The sequence below is a fragment of the Homo sapiens genome, chromosome 12, assembly GCF_000001405.40.
Source record: "Homo sapiens chromosome 12, GRCh38.p14 Primary Assembly".
NCBI lineage: Eukaryota > Metazoa > Chordata > Mammalia > Primates > Hominidae > Homo > Homo sapiens.
Genome location: NC_000012.12, coordinates 25,358,683 through 25,374,709, shown reverse-complemented (window position 1 = coordinate 25,374,709; position 16,027 = coordinate 25,358,683). Strand labels below are relative to the sequence as shown.

The following is a 16,027-nucleotide window of genomic DNA, read 5'->3' as shown; positions in this document are numbered from 1 at the left end:
AAGCTTATTGCTGGGCGCAGTGACTCAGGCCTGTAATCCCAACACTTTGGGAGGACGAGGTGGGAGGATTGCTTTGAGCTCAGGAGTTCCAGACCAGCTTGGGCAATATGGCCAGGTATTGTATTTTTTTCTCTACAAATAATACAAAAAAAATTACCCGGGCGTGGTGGCACACACCTGTAATCCCAGATATTCAGGTGGCTGAGGTATGAGAATTGCTTGAACCTGGGAGGCAGAGGTTGCAGTGAGCCAAGATTGCGCCACTGCACTCCAGCCAGGGTGACAGAGTGAGACACTGTCTCAAAACAAACAAACAAACAACGACAACAACAACAAAACCCAGCAGCTTATTGACTCACTTAAGCTAAAAACTCCAAGTGTTGGTTAGTCTTTCACCATTGTTAGATATGGCTCAAGTGACACTATCGGGATTATTTTTCACTCTCCGTGTATTAGCTCTGCTCTGCCTCGGCCTCATTCTCTTGCAGGCTCTCTCCTGGTGGCCAAAAAATAAAGATAAAAGGTGGCCTTCCAAGTTTACATGTCCTTGTTATCTGGTGGCCTCAGAAAGAGAGATGCCATCTATTTCCCAGCATCCCTGTCAACCTCCAAGGTCCAGTTTGGTTGCATGGCCCCCTCCAGACTAACCACTGTGTCGAGGAAATGGGACTCTCTTGATGTTCAGGCCTGTACTGGGGAAGGCAGAGCTGTTTGGTTGACAGTTCTATTAGAACCCCATGATGCTGGGGAGGGAAGCAGTTGCCCAGAGCAAGGCTTAAAGGGCAGTAACCAAGTCACAGATTTCCACACTACAGGGAATATCTGAAACTCATTCTTCTGCTTATCCAAACAGAATTCTGGAAGTGTTCAAGACCACTGCATAATTGTGCATTCTACTCTTCATTTGACTAAGAAGACATTTCCTTGCACTTCTTTTTTTAATAGCGCTTCTACTTGGAATTCTATGCCTCTTTCTTCAGGAGGCAAAGTTAAAGCATCAGAGTAACATATACTTTCGGAAAACATTCAGAGCCTCTCTAGCAACACCACATTTGTACTCCCTCCTGTCTTCCCTCCAAACTCCTCCCACACCTTCCCTCAAGAAATCTGAATTGTGATTCTGTAGAAAACCACTGGGTCTCATTTCTGATATATGTGGTCAGCAGGGTGTCCCAAGATCTAAGGTGTTGTTCTGACAATCAGTCATTCTATTTTTTTTTCTTTTGGCAACTGAAGACCCTCATTTAATTATTGAAATATTTTAGGAGGTTTTCAAAAGAATCAGTGAGTGCCATTTGAAAACTGCCTTCTGCTCTTTTGCCCTCTCTAATCCCATGCTAGCCTGGTTTATTTTAGAAGCCAGCCTGATGACCAAGATTATTCTTTAAAACACTGAGACTGGCAAGGCAGATGCTTCACAGAAAGTGGACAAGGACTCAGCCGGGGCCAGTTGTTTGTTTGTTTCCCGTTGGCATGCAGTCCAGCTTTAAAGAGTGTTACTACTGGAGTTTTAAATCTGCCAGTACATGTTAAGTATATCCTATACAATTTTTCATGAAACTTGCTTCAACTTGCCAGTACAGCTAGCTGGATGCCTATGCAAATGACCTATTCTGCTTCTGAAAATGTCTGCAATTAGTACAGCATGCTGGTCTTCCATGAATTGTTTTCTGTGTTATTAATAATAAGGGGACTATTCCTTCCTATATTGAAATATGTTAATATTTGTTCAGCAATCCACAAATACAATGTTTCTATCATTCAGCTGGAGTCCTATTTTTCTGGTGTTTTCACATTGTGGAGATTCTCTCTGCTGGTCTGGCTAGCTATTTTGGAAACAAAAGGTAGATCCAATTCTTACTTAAGTGTTGTTACAAGCCTTATGCTCCTATTTATTTAATTCTGTGCTGTTACTGTCTGGGTGGTTAGGACTTCTACGTGTAATTTTTTTTTTTTTTTTTTTTTTGAGACAGAGTCTTGCTCTGTCACCCAGGCTGGAGTGCAATGGCGCCATCTCAGCTCACTGCAACCTCCACCTCCCAGGTTCAAACTGTTGTCCTGCCTCAGCCTCCCAAGTACCTGGAACTACAGGTGTGCACCACCATGCCCAGATAATTTTTGTATTTTTAGTAGAGACGAGGTTTTGCCATGTTGGCCAGGCTGGTCTCGAACTCGTGACCTCAGTTGATCCACTTGCCTTGGCCTCCCAAAGTGCTAGGATTACAAGCCTGAGGCACCGTGCCTGGCCTTCTAAGTGTAATTTGCCTATTTTATTTTTATAGCCAAGAACACTGTTACATATTAAAACCATTTAGCTTAGCCTTCTTAGGGCTAAGTAAAACTAGTTCCCATACCCATTTCATGCCCAGTGTTCTTTCATCATTCTTTGTGCTATGTTCTGTATCCTTTCTAGTTTCTCCACATTCTTTTAAAAATATGAAACCTCAGACTGGATGTGAGTTTCTAATATGGGCTTGACCAACCTTACATATACTGGGAAAATTACTTCATGGTTTTTGTGTGTCATATTTCAGTTAATATACTGGAGCACCATGTCAGCTCTTTTTAAATAGCAGTTCTACATTGCTGACACATTCATGATGACTTAAGCTGGGCACCTAGATGATACTATAAAGCTGGCTTTCAACTATTTTAAGTTAAAGCATTATGAAAGTTGTTATGGTGGCTATAACTACCATTCCAGGAAAATCTCCTTCAAATAGATCATTGTCCTCATATTTTACATTTTGGTTATTTTTTTCCTTCTGAAAGTTCAAAGTCCTTAGCAGTAAGTTGTCTAGCCCCAATTAATTATATGGTTTCAAAATAAAATTTTACACTTATATCCTGTAATTTTAGACTGCCAAGCAAAACTTCTCAGGGAGGGCTCTCCTTTTAATCCAGTATTCTCAAACACTTTTCCCACTTCTTTTAGGGGCTCCTGCTTTTTAATTCTTGGACACCTAAGAACAAGCACCGCAGGCTTTACTTAAGACTTCTCATAACTAAATAAAATTAGTAGGTTTTCATATAATTAGCATATCTTAAAGTTTCTATTCAAAAATGCTATTTTTCATGTGTTTAATCACGTATTTCCTTCCCTCCCACTTCTATTTAATCATACCTAATATTATATAGTTTTAAAATGTTTTTGAGATGGGGTCTGGTTCTGTTGCCCAGGCTGGAGTTCAGTGGCACAGTCTTGGCTCACTGCAACCTCCGCCTCAGGGACTCAAGGGATTCTCCCACCTCAGCCTCCTGAGTAGCTGGGACTACAGGTGCCCACCACCATACCGGACTAATATTTTTTTAGTTTTCATAGAGATGGGATTTCACCATGTTTCTCAGGCTAGCCTCGAACTCCTGAGCTCAAGTGATCCGCCTGCCTCAGCCTCCCAAAGTGCTGGGATTACAGGTGTGAGCCACTGCACCCAGCCTAATATCTTTTTTTTTTTTTTTTTGAGACGGAGTCTTGCTCTGTCACCCAGGCTGAAGTGCAGTGGCATGATCTTAATTTACTGAAACCTCTGCCTCCCAGATTCAAGCAATTCTCCTGCCTCAGTCTCTTGAGTAGCCGAGATTACAGGCGCCCTCCACCACCCCTGGCTGATTCTTCTATTTTTAGTAGAGACGGGTTTTACCATATTGGCCAGGCTGGTCTTGAACTCCTGACCTCAAGTGATCCACCTGCCTTGGCCTCCCAAAGTGCTGGGATTACAGGTGTGAGCCACCATGCCCAGCCCTATCATATTTAAATAGTACTATTTAATCGGCTGGGCACAGTGGCTCACGCCTCTAATTCCAGAATTTTGGAAGGCCAAGGCGGGCGGATCACAAGGTCAGGAGTTCGAGACCAGTCTGGCCAACATAGTGGAACCCTGTTTCTACTAAAAATACAAAAATTAGCCGGGTGTGATGGTATGCGCCTGTAATCCCAGCTACTCAGGAGGCTGTGGCAGGAGAATCACGTGAACCCAGGAGGCGGAGTTTGTAGTGAGCCAAGATCATGCCATTGTACTCTAGCCTGGGTGACAACGCGAGACTCCGTCTCAAAAAAAAAAAAAAAAAAAAAAGTACTATTTAATTATACCTCCTATCACTTTTATTTATTTATTTGGTAAACACAGAGTTTCCACAGCTCACTATATTGCCCAGGCTGGTCACAAACTCCTGGTCTCAAGTGATCCTCCTGTGTCCGGAATTGGTGGGTTCTTGGTCTCACTGACTTCAAGAATGAAGCCACGGACCCTTGCGGTGAGTGTTACAGTTCTTAAAGGTGGCGTGTCCGGAGTTTGTTCCTTCTGATGTTCGGATGTGTTCGGAGTTTCTTCTGGTGGGTTCGTGGTCTTGCCGGCTCAGGAGTGAACCTGCAGACCTTTGCGGTGAGTGTTACAGCTCATAAAGGCAGTGTGGACCCATAGAGTGAACAGCAGCAAGATTTATTGCGATGAGCGAAAGAACAAAGCTTCCACAGTCTGGAAGGGGACCAGAGCGGGTTGCTACTGCTGGCTGGGGCAGCCTGCTTTTATTCTCTTATCTGGCCCCACCCACATCCTGCTGATTGGTAGAGCCCAGAGGTCTGTTTTGACAGGGTGCTGATTGGTGTGTTTACAATCCCTGAGCCAGACACAAAGGTTCTCCACGTCCCCACCAGATTAGCTAGATACAGAGTGTCAACACAAAGGTTCTCCAAGGCCCCACCAGAGTAGCTAGATACAGAGTGTCAATTGGTGCATTCACAAACCCTGAGCTAGACCACAGGGTGCTGATTGGTGTGTTTACAAACCTTGAGCTAGATACAGAGTGCCGATTGGTGTATTTACAATCCCTGAGCTAGACATAAAGGTTCTCCACCTCCCCACCAGACTCAGGAGCCCAGCTGGAGCCCAGCTGGCTTCACCCAGTGGATCCCGCACAGGGGCTGCAGGTGGAGCTGCCTGCCAGTCTTGTGCCGTGCGCCCACACTCCTCAGGCGTTGTGTGGTCGATGGGACTGGGCGCCGTGGAGCAGGGGGCGGCGCTCATCGCGTAGGCTCAGACCGCACAGTAGCCCACGGAGGGGGTGGGAGGCTCAGGCATGGTGGGCTGCAGGTCCCAAGCCCTGCCCTGCAGGAAGGCAGCTAAGGCCCAGAGAGAAATGAGTGCAGTGCCGGTAGGCTGGCACTGCTGGGGGACCCAGTACACCCCCCGCAGCCGCTGGCCCGGGTGCTAAGCCCCTCATTGCCCGGGGCCAGCAGGGCCGGCCGCCTGCTCCGAGTGCGGGGCCCGCCAAGCCCACGCCAACCCGGAACTCCAGCTGGCCCGCAAGCGCCGCGTGCAGCTCCGGTTCCTGCTCTCCGTTCACACTTCCCTGCAAGCTGAGGGAGCCGGCTCCGGCCTTGGCCAGCCCAGAAAGGGGCTCCCACAGTGCAGCGGTGGGCTGAAGGGCTCCTCAAGTGCCGCCAAAGTGGGAGCCCAGGCAGAGGAGGCACCGAGAGCGAGCGAGGGCTGTGAGGACTGCCAGCACGCTGTCACCTCTACTCCTACCTCAGCCTTCCAAAGCACTGGGATTGTAAGCATGAGCCGCTATGCCCAGCCATACCGCACATTACTATTAAATAATAGTGCTAAATTTATGAAGATATCATAAATTTATAAGTCCTGGTCAATATGGTAATATTCTATCTGCATGTAGTATTTGACCTTCTCTTTGGAGTTCATTAGATTACAAATAGACAGAGAGTGTCCATCTAAATTTACAATGTAAATCCATTTTTTTTAGCTAGGCTCATGAGTCATTTTGATTACTGTATTGATTGACAGTATTGTGCCTCCATCCATTTAATTTTTCTTTAGAGAGGCCTGTAATCCATTTCATTTCTGAAATGGTCAGGGTTCATTTGCAAAGAATAAAATCTACTGAAGCTAGTTTAAGCAGGAAAGGATTTATTATGGGGTATTAACTGGCTTAAGAACCATTGAAATACTGAGGAAACAGACTGGAGGTGGAGCTTTAAGGACAACTCACAAAGCTATGCCACAGAACTGGACCACCAAGGTAGCTATTGCCTCTTCTCCAGTCAGGAAGCTGCAGGTTCTAGAATTACATTACCACTGCCACCATACCTACTGCCATACCTACTGGCTTCAGAACTGCTTCATACTTATCATAATCCATACCAGCAAAACCCATGCCCTACCTCTTGCCGTTTTTAACCATGAAGCTAATGACTAGACAGTGAGGGTGCTCTACTAATGCTGTCACAGAAAGCCCAACACCTCCACAACTGTGCTTGACAGACAAGGTAACAGAAGCAAGGTTTGCTCTCACATGAATGTTTCACACTGGCTGAATCCAAATAAATTTTGAGACCCAGCTGCAAGGAGTCTGGGAGACCTTCCAGTTTCTGCAGAATAGGCAGGCACATTGGAAAGATGATGGAAAGGGTATTAAACACCAGTCTACAAAAATCATCACAACCACAATCAAATGTTATCTTAAATTCATTGGAATTTAAATGAGTATGCCTCCAAGCCTTGTAGTGATAAATGGAAATACTTTTACTTTTGTCATCTTTGTTTCATTTTTTTAAAAATAAAATTACTATCTCTTTCAATGGCAAGTTATAAATCAATTTTGTTATTAATTAGGGTTGAATCCCTTCCTTACAACTCTTAATGCAAATATACCTCCAATGATATTTTTATATAGGATTAAATATTACAACAGCTCTCTGTGATGAGCATTAATGAATCAATTATGTTCTCATATAATAATATATGAGCATCTGCTACACATATTACATCTAAGTAGACACAGTAGAGATTGAAAAAAATAGACACATAGCACATTGCTATTTTCCTCAAGCAACTCACATTAAAATGGGAAACAAATACACATGGAAAGATGTGCCTTCTAATTCAAAAAAATCTGGGTTCAAATCTCTCCTACTTTATCTATGAGGTGTGTAACATTGCCATATATATGTGTATATGCCAGATATGCACATATATCAGTATAGATATAGAGAAAAAACTTGGTAGCTAGAATAGCGAGAACTTAGTAGGCCTTGAATAAACTATAGCTACTATGGAGTTATAATGATAAAAGCAATACAGAAATTACAAGAGGATACAGTAAATGATTGTCATCAAGTGAGTGATGAAAGTAAGTATCTTATAAAGCATTCAATCATTTGTATTGCAGAAGCTAATTTTAGCATGAAGTGTTAACATTTTTATCTAGACTGATCCATGGAAGTTTGCTGGTCAGCGTGAGCTCTGTTAGGGTCATTGCAGTTTTTTCTTGGCTTTTGCCCTCTTGCACTCTACCAGTGGCTTATTTCCCTGCCTTGTAATCCAGGTTCTTTCTCACCAGATTCCCCCATCAAATGGACAGTCCAATGAGGGACAGATGGGGTTGTGCAAGAACAGGCTGTTGGGCCAGTATGGGGCAGGTTGGGGGTGTCTTTGGCAAGACCGAAGCCCAACAGATGTCAGAAACAACAGAAACTGATTTGCCTGCCTTTAAGGCGGGGACTACTATATGTCTTCTCTGGATAGGTGTTCAATATTTTGACAATAAAAACAAGGCCACCTTGCCCATGTGTGTTTGTTTACCATGGCATTGTCCCCACTGCATATGATTTTTAAAATGTATTTGAGTCCCGTTTCCTTGATGCAGATGCCTCTTTATTGTTTGTTGAGGTAGCAGACCACCCACATTATAATTTTCCCTAATGTAAAAACTGATAATAGCTAATATTTATCCAATGCTTACTATGTGTCAGTCACTTTTACATACTTTGTTTACTTTATCTCATTTCATTTTAATTCAATGAAGTGAATGAATCTTGATTTTTACACATGAGGAAATAGATGATGAAAAAGCCCATCTTGGAAAAATATTTATTGAAATGAGCTGTTTCACTCATGCATATATGTATGTATGTGTGTGTGTGTATCTGTTTTATGTGTGTGTGTGCAAAAAAATCTTCGCAAAAACCACATAAGAATTATACACACGGGTGACATATAAAAAAACAAAGATGCACTCAAAAACAACCCAAAAATGTTTTATCTGGGTAGTGAGATTTTTGTTTTAGAACCTTTTTCTCCTCAAGTTTTCTACAACAAAGATTTTAAAAACTTTTGGTAGCTATAAAACTTTCAATAAATGCAGACAATTTTTGCTTGATGGCACAGTATACTTTCAGCATCATATAGTTAACTCAAACAGCATACTCTTTGACTAGTTAAATCTAGTATTCATAATTATATATTTACATCAGATTTTGAAGCATAATTTATTTACATTAAAATTCATCCCCTTCTAATGTACAGTTCAATGAGCTTTGACACATGTCCAAAATCATATAGTGACAACCACAATCAAGATAAAGAACATCTCCATTCCCCAGAAAGTTCCCGCGCCTTTATAGGCAGCCCTTGGCAAGCACTGATCTGTTTTCTGTCCCTGGAGTTTTGCCTTTTCCAGAATATGATATAAACGGAATCATGCAGTCTTTTGTTTCTGGCTTCTTTCATTATAAATATAATATTTGATTACCTTTCATTACAATATGAAGCTGGGATATTTAATAATAATAGGTTTCTTTTATTCATTTGAACTGTATAAAGTTGTAATTGGGGTGCCTTTAATTATCTTTAGTCTTTTACTTAAAAACGTACCTTTTTTTCCCCAAAAAAACTTTTATATTACAGACAGCCAATACATTCTAGCTCATAGATTCAGGTTTATTTGCTAGATTGCCAGAAGTGAAAAACTGAACAAAACAAAATGAAACTTATATCAACTGTTGTACATTTAAGGTAATCTATAGGAAAACAATTTATTTGTAATCCTTTGAAAGAATTAAAATGCAAAATGTCTGATCTACTTCACTGTGGTTACAGAAATGTCTAAGAAAAGCATGTCTTTCCACTTGTAAGAATTTCAGTTTTCCATTGTAGATTTGTCTTGATAGGAACTGCAAATGACTGTTATTAGCCGTTCAGTTCTGACAGCAAGTTCAAAATCTATCAAATTTATTGTCTGAGCACATGGTGAAGCAAACCTTCAAGCTCAAAAAAAGCCTCTTAGTTGTATATCTTGTTAGAGAGTTTTTTAAACATACCGTTGGGGTGTCTTAAAATTTGATGTGAACTTTAGCTCTGCACATGTAACTGCTTCGATGTGGGAGGAAAGCATTTGAAACAGAACCATTCTTTTGGTGACTTTGCACATTGCTAATCCTTTAGCTGAATATTTTCAAGGTCATCAATTACAATTTTTAAAAACAGCTTCATTGAGATGTAATTAAATTATCACAGATTTTATCCATTTAAAATGTACAAGTCAACAGTTTTTAGCATATTTACAGAACAGTGCAGCCATTATCATAATCCAGTTTTAGAACATTTTCATCATCCCAAAAGGAAACTTTCAACCCATTAACAGTCATTCTCCTCCCTCCCACCCCCAGCCCCAGGCAACCACTAATCTACTTTCTAGATGACAATGGTTTTTAACTTGAAGTGTTTTGGTTTCTGTTGCTGTTTTTTTTTTTAAGCCCTGTAGCTAAAGGGAGGGCGTATTTCCATATTTACTTGATGTTAATTTTTTTTTTTTAATTTTAGACACTAAGGGCAATTCATCGTTACCTTTGCAAGAATGCCTAGATGAAGTTAAATTTTTCTAAAAATGGTTCTTTTTAAAAATAGATCTTTCCCTTTCTTCCCCCTTTACAATTTTTAACACTCTTTTCTTTTCAATCCTTTGAACGTGTAGCTAACGGACAGTTGGTGCTCAGGAAAGCAAATATTAGCATGAGTGGTTCCAAAAACCCCTTCCTTTAGCAATTAACAGAGAGTTTACATTGCTAAAAATATTTCAATAACACACATTTTCTCAACAAGTTACTTAGCACAAATAAACCACAAAAGTTTTTAAATATATGAACAGCAGCACTTTTGTTGCATGTGTTTTTTTTAAGGTCTTGGTCTGTTTAGCATTTAAAGGAAAACTCAGTTGGGTGCGGGTGGAGAGGTACTGCTCCTCTGCTACTTTGTATTATTTTGCTAGTGACCTCAGCTCTTGCCTGAGTTTGTACTACTGGTGAAGAAAAAGTGTTTCTAGTCCTCCCTGCAACAAAGATCTCACTGGCTGAAGGCAAATGCCTGCAATCCCAGCACTTTGGGAGGCTGAGGCGGGCGGATCACGAGATCAGGAGATGGAGACCATCCTGGCTAACACGGTGAAACCCCCTCTCTGCTAAAAAATACAAAAAATTAGCCGGGCATGGTGGCGGGCGCCTGCAGTCCCAGCTACGCGGGAGGCTGAGGCAGGAGAATGGCGTGAACCCAGGAGGCGGAGCTTGCAGCTTGCAGTGAGCCGAGATCGCGCCACTGCACTCCAGCCTGGGCGACAGAGCGAGACTCCGTCTCAAAAAAAAAAAAAAAAAAAAAAAGGAAAAAGAAATAGAGTGCCTTAGAGATGCGTACTTCTTAAAATAGCAGACTCAATAGGAAAAAGGAACCAGAAAATATATTCCATTTGTAGTAATGTGGTCTAATTTGGCTTCTTAAGGTTGACTTCGCATTTCAGAAGAAAAGGTTGCTGTTAAGTTTACTCAGAAATATTTGTTAGATTTATTTTTCTTGTTAGTTTATATGTTAGTTCTGTATTTCTGTGTAACAAATAATCCCAGAATTTAGTGACTTAAAATAATGGCATGTATTATTTCTCACTGTAACAATGGGCCAGAAGAATTAGGGAATGGCTTGGCTGGACAGTTCAGGCTTGGTCTTATCATGAGGTTTGCTCAAATGTCTACTGAGATTGACATGTAAAAGCTTTATCCAGGTACAGATGGCCCACTCACATGGTTGGAAAGTTGGTGGTGACTATAGGTAGGAACTTAGTTTCTCTCCACGTATGCCACTCTGTAGATTTATTTCAATATCCATAACATGGCATCTGACTTCATTTAGAGTAAATAATACAAGAGGACAAGGTACAGCTGCAAAGTCACCTAGCTTCAGAAACCATCTGTTTGTTTTACTGGTCCCACACAGCAGCACTGGCTTCATGTGGGAAAAGACTTTACAAGGGCACGAACACCAAGGGAGGTGAGAATCGGGGCCAGGGGGTGGGGGCGGCCCTCAGAGGCTGGCTACCATAGCTTACACTATAAAACCTTATAGATAATTCTTATTTTATTTTTTAATAAAGATGGAGTCTCACTGTGTTGCCAAAGCTGGTATCAAACTCTTGGGTGTAAACAATCCTCCTGCCTCCCCAGCAGCTAGGATTACAAGTGTGTACCACCACACCCAGCAGCTAATTTTTTTTTTTTTGACAGAGTTTCGCTCTTGTTGCCCAGGCTGGAGTGCAGTGGTGTGATTTCGGCTCACTGCAAACTCCGCCTCCTGGGTTCAAGTGATTCTCCTGCCTCAGCCACCAAGTAGCTGGGACTACAGGCATGTGCCACCATGCCCAACTAATTTTGTATTTTTAATTGAGACGGGGTTTCACCACGTTGGTCAGGCTGGTCTTGAACTCCTGACCTCAGATGATCCTCCCACCTCGGCCTCCCAAAGCACTGGGATTACAGGTGTGAGCCACTGCGACCAGCCCAAATTTTTAAACATTAGCAAAATGCAAAGGTATTAATTTCTTTTCAAATATAAAAATCTTTTTAGGTATATATTTTTATTTTTAAAATATAAAAATCCCTAGTGAACAGCAAAAACCTAATGAAAACGCGTACCTATTTCAGATTCCAAGGCAAATAATCATCTATTCATTGAGAATATGCTGTATCCTCAGAACTGCTGGGAACATATCTTATGGGATGTGACAGAGGCATCTCGGAATTTTATCTGAAGGAAATCTTTGTAACATCTTTTCAGAATCACGTTCTCTGCCAAAAGTTAGGCATGGAATTCAACCCTAATCCCCCAGGATATACCTGTACCTCCAGCTTTCTTTGGTGAATTGGTTTTCTCTTGGTCCTAAAAGAAAGTAGAATGCCACCTATTAGAGAAGGGCCAGGCATAGTGGTTCATGCCTGTAATCCTAACACTTTGGGAGGCCGAGGCGAGAGGATCGCTTGAGCCCAGGAGTTCAGGATCAACCTGGGCAACATAGGGAGACCCTGTCTCTATGAAAAAAAAATTAGCCAGGCATAGTGGTACACATTTATAGTCCAAGCTACTTGGGAGGCTGAGGTGGGAGAATCACTTGAGCCCATGAGGTTGAGGCTGCAAGTGAGCTGTAATCATACCACTGCACTCCAGCCTGGGTGACAGCGTGAGACCCTGTCTCAAAAAAAAAAAAAAAAAAAAAAAAGAGAGAAGTCTGGATTCTAGCCATGCTTTTTTTTTTTTTTTTGAGACACAGTCTCCCAAGTAACTGGGATTAGAGGTGTGCATCACCACGCCTGGCTAATTTTTTTTTTTTTTTTTTTTTTTTTTTTTTTTTTTTTAGTAGAGACAGGGTTTCACCATGTTGGCCAGGCTGGTCTCAAACTCCTGACCTCAAGTGATCTGCCTGCCTCAGCCTCCCAAAGTGCTAGGATTACATGCATGAGCCACTACGCCCGGCCCCATGCTTTGTTTTGATTATTGGTATACATCCAGCATTCACTGGGATTTTCTTACATTTCTAAGTTTGCTCACAATTGAAAAAAAAAAAGTCTGGAAGGAAATGCACCAAACTATTAACAAAGGGAATTGTGAACATTTATTGGTATTTGTTTCACACCTTTCTCTCGGACAGCAGCCCTCTGTATCTGAAAAACTGTTCCTCTTTCTACTCTTGTCAATTGGTCCAAATGGGGATGGCCATCTTTCTTTCAATTCTATTCCTCTGGCTGCAGCAGTCAGCCAATTGTGCCACCCGAGAACTCCTGGTCATAGTGATTAGTCTAGAGATTAGCGTGTGACCCAAGCCAGACTAATCAGAGTGCTTTCTGAGGGTTCTGCCAATTTACTTCCTCTAAGGAGAGCAAGATTTCTTCCCTCTATAGTCACCAAGATGATTCTTGAGCTGCTGGTGGCCCTTCTCATTCCCAGTGGAAGAGAACCAGTCTGAGATAACAAAGCTAACATGCAGAGATAAGTGGAGATGAGACAGAGCCAGTCATGAGGCCCTGCTTCCCAGGGAACCAGGTCCCACTCTTACCTCTCTGAAGTCTTGGTTATGTAAGCAAATAATTTTCCCTATTTGTTCAAGATGGATCAGACTAGGCTCTTGTTACTAGTATCCTTAAACTCTGATTAGTACATTTTGAGAAGTGGTTGGGAAAATTTCACTTTCAACTTTAGACATTAATTGTACTAATCAGAAATTTTTGGCTACAAATGAAAGGAATGCTATTTGAGCTAGCAAAAGCAAGTGGGAATTTATTAGGTCATGTACCCAAATGTAGGAAGGGCATAGGTGAAGCTGTCCTGAGGCATCTCTAAAACCAAGGATCTAAATGCCATCAAGACTCACTGCTATTTTTCTTTCTAGCTTTCAGCTTTATTCCTCCTTAACTGTGGACTTGCTTTCTTCACCCAGTGGAGACATGGCCACTGCTGGCAGGTTCTAGGCTCACATCTTAACAGCATTTGAGAAGAAAATTCTTCCTCCCCATGTTGAGTCAGTAAAAATCTCAGGAAAGGATTGTGATTGACCTGGCTTGGGCCACAGGTCCATTTCTGCCCCCAATTACCGTGACCAAGAATGTAAGTACTCTCATTGCCCAGATTGATTCGCATGCCCTCTCCTTGATCTTTCCCTGTGGCTGGGGATGTGGGGTCATGTAAAAACAGGGCGGTTCCGACCTAGAAGCAAAATTGAAAGGGAAATAAATGGTTCTTCAGAAAAGGGAGCAAGAAACTGGCTCTGACATGGTCACCGAGAAAAATCTGTATGAAGTAGAGCATCTACCCTAATTTTTGTGTTCACCACATTTTATATTGTTCATATATTTTATAACAAATAGGTAGCATTTGATAAGATATTAAAACTGGGCCGGGCATAGTGGCTCACGCCTGTAATCCCAGCACTTTGGGAGGCCAAGGAGGGCAGATCACGAGGTCAGGAGATTGAGACCATCCTGGCTAACACGGTGAAAACCCCTCTCTACTAAACCCCTGGGCAAAAAGTTAGCTGGGCATGGTGGCGGGCACCTGTAGTCCCAGCTACTCGGGAGGCTGAGGCAGGAGAATGGTGTGAACATGGGAGGCGGAGCTTGCAGTGAGCCGAGATTGTGCCACTGCACTCCAGCCTGGCAACAGAGCGAGACTCTGTCTCAAAAAAAAAAAAAGATATTAAAACTGAGTAAATCTATATTATATATTACCAAATAAATCTTTGTTATATATTTAATATATGTTATATACTACATAATATAGATATAATTACATATATATCATGTATTGTATTATATAGTACTAAACGCTTTCCCCCTGAAGTTATGTCAAGTTTATAAGAAACCTCAGAAATCATGTGGTTTGCAGCCTGGCTAACATGGTGAAATCCTGTCTCTACTAAAAACACAAAAATAAGCTGGGCGTGGTGGTGGGCGCCTGTAATCCCAGCTACCCAGGAGGCTGAGACAGGAGAATTGCTTGAACTCAGGAGGCAAATGTTGCAGCGAGTGGAGATCACGCCACTGCACTTGGGCCTGGGCAACAGAGCGAGACTCCATCTCAAAAAGAAAAAAAGAGAAAGAAATCATGTGGTTTGGCAACTACTAATGCAAAATACCCTCTCATGTCCTGGATCAGGAACGTGAATACCTTCCTATCTTCAGTGATGATGTGAAGAATGATGAACATAGATTTCTCTGGGAAACAAAGAGTTGAGAAATAACAGCAGAGCTGACTAAACCAAGAGCTGTTAATTGATCTGTAATCTTCATATCACCTTGGAAAAATTGCTCTCTCTCTGATTTCCTTTTCTTATTAAAAAATTAGAGTAGGCCAGGTGCGATGGCTCACATCTATAATCCTAGCACTTTGGGAGGCTGAGGCAGGAGGATCTCTTAGTTCAGGAGTTCAAGACCAACCTGGGCAACATAGTAAGATCTCATCTCTACATTTTTTTTTTTTTAATTAGCCAAACATGGTGGCACACACATAGTTTCAGGTACTCGGGTGGCTGAACTGGGAGGATTGCTTGAGCCCAGCAGGTCGAGGCTACAGTGAGCAGTGATCACACTACTGCACTCTAACCTGGGTGACAGAGTAAGACCTGGTCTAAAAAATAAAAAGAGAGAATAATAATAGTAATACTACTGATATTTTAAATATACCACTGGAAGTGGGGTTGGTGGGGGAGTAAGGCTGCAATATCTTACAAACACAATCTATAAGTGGCAGCTTTAATCATTTTCTTTGTATTGTTATTGAGATGAAATCCGACTGGGCACAGTGGCTAACACCTGTGTTAGGTGGGCAGATCACTTGAGGCCAGGAGTTCCAGAACAACCTAAGCAACATGGTGAAACCCCGTCTCTACAAAAAATTAGTTGGTGTGGTGGCGCACACCTGTAGTCCCAGCTCCTCAGGAGGTTGAGGTGAGAGAATTACCTGGGCCGGAGAGGTCGAGGCTGCAGTGAGCCAAGATTGTGCCACTGCACTCCAGCCCGGGTGACAGACTGAGACGCTGTCTCAGAAAAATAATAATAATTTTAAAATAAAATATAATTCATTCAGCTAAGCTATAAAATTAGCCTAAAATGCTGAATGGTAATTTAAGTTCAATTGGTGTATTATTTAGTGTTTATTAAACACCAGCTTCTTCCAGAACCTTTACAGGTTACAAAGTGTGGTCTGTGTTCTCCAGGACTTCTGAGTTTTTCAGCAAGAGTTATGTTTGGTATTCTGGGACACTGCAGTCTTTTGTCAGTGAAGCGCTTTCCCCTAAAGTAAACTGAAATGTTAAAAATGTGAGTGGTATTTTGAATTGTGAGCATTTGAAAGGATATAGATCGACTATATTTGTCATAAGTGTTTAGAATAATATGACATAAAGTATAAAAGTACTAAAAAGG

The 16,027-nt window shown here is 41.8% G+C and overlaps 3 annotated features.

Moving 5' to 3' along the window:
- Window positions 4,597-5,097: an enhancer, noted in NCBI's record as "H3K4me1 hESC enhancer chr12:25522547-25523047 (GRCh37/hg19 assembly coordinates)". NCBI's record gives its function as "activates a minimal SCP1, AML or CMV promoter by ChIP-STARR-seq in naive and primed H9 embryonic stem cells {active_cell/tissue: H9 hESC(naive and primed)}" and the evidence as "EXISTENCE:reporter gene assay evidence [ECO:0000049][PMID:30033119]".
- Window positions 5,098-5,598: an enhancer, noted in NCBI's record as "H3K4me1 hESC enhancer chr12:25522046-25522546 (GRCh37/hg19 assembly coordinates)". NCBI's record gives its function as "activates a minimal SCP1, AML or CMV promoter by ChIP-STARR-seq in naive and primed H9 embryonic stem cells {active_cell/tissue: H9 hESC(naive and primed)}" and the evidence as "EXISTENCE:reporter gene assay evidence [ECO:0000049][PMID:30033119]".
- Window positions 9,098-9,693: an enhancer, noted in NCBI's record as "NANOG-H3K27ac hESC enhancer chr12:25517951-25518546 (GRCh37/hg19 assembly coordinates)". NCBI's record gives its function as "activates a minimal SCP1, AML or CMV promoter by ChIP-STARR-seq in primed H9 embryonic stem cells {active_cell/tissue: H9 hESC(primed)}" and the evidence as "EXISTENCE:reporter gene assay evidence [ECO:0000049][PMID:30033119]".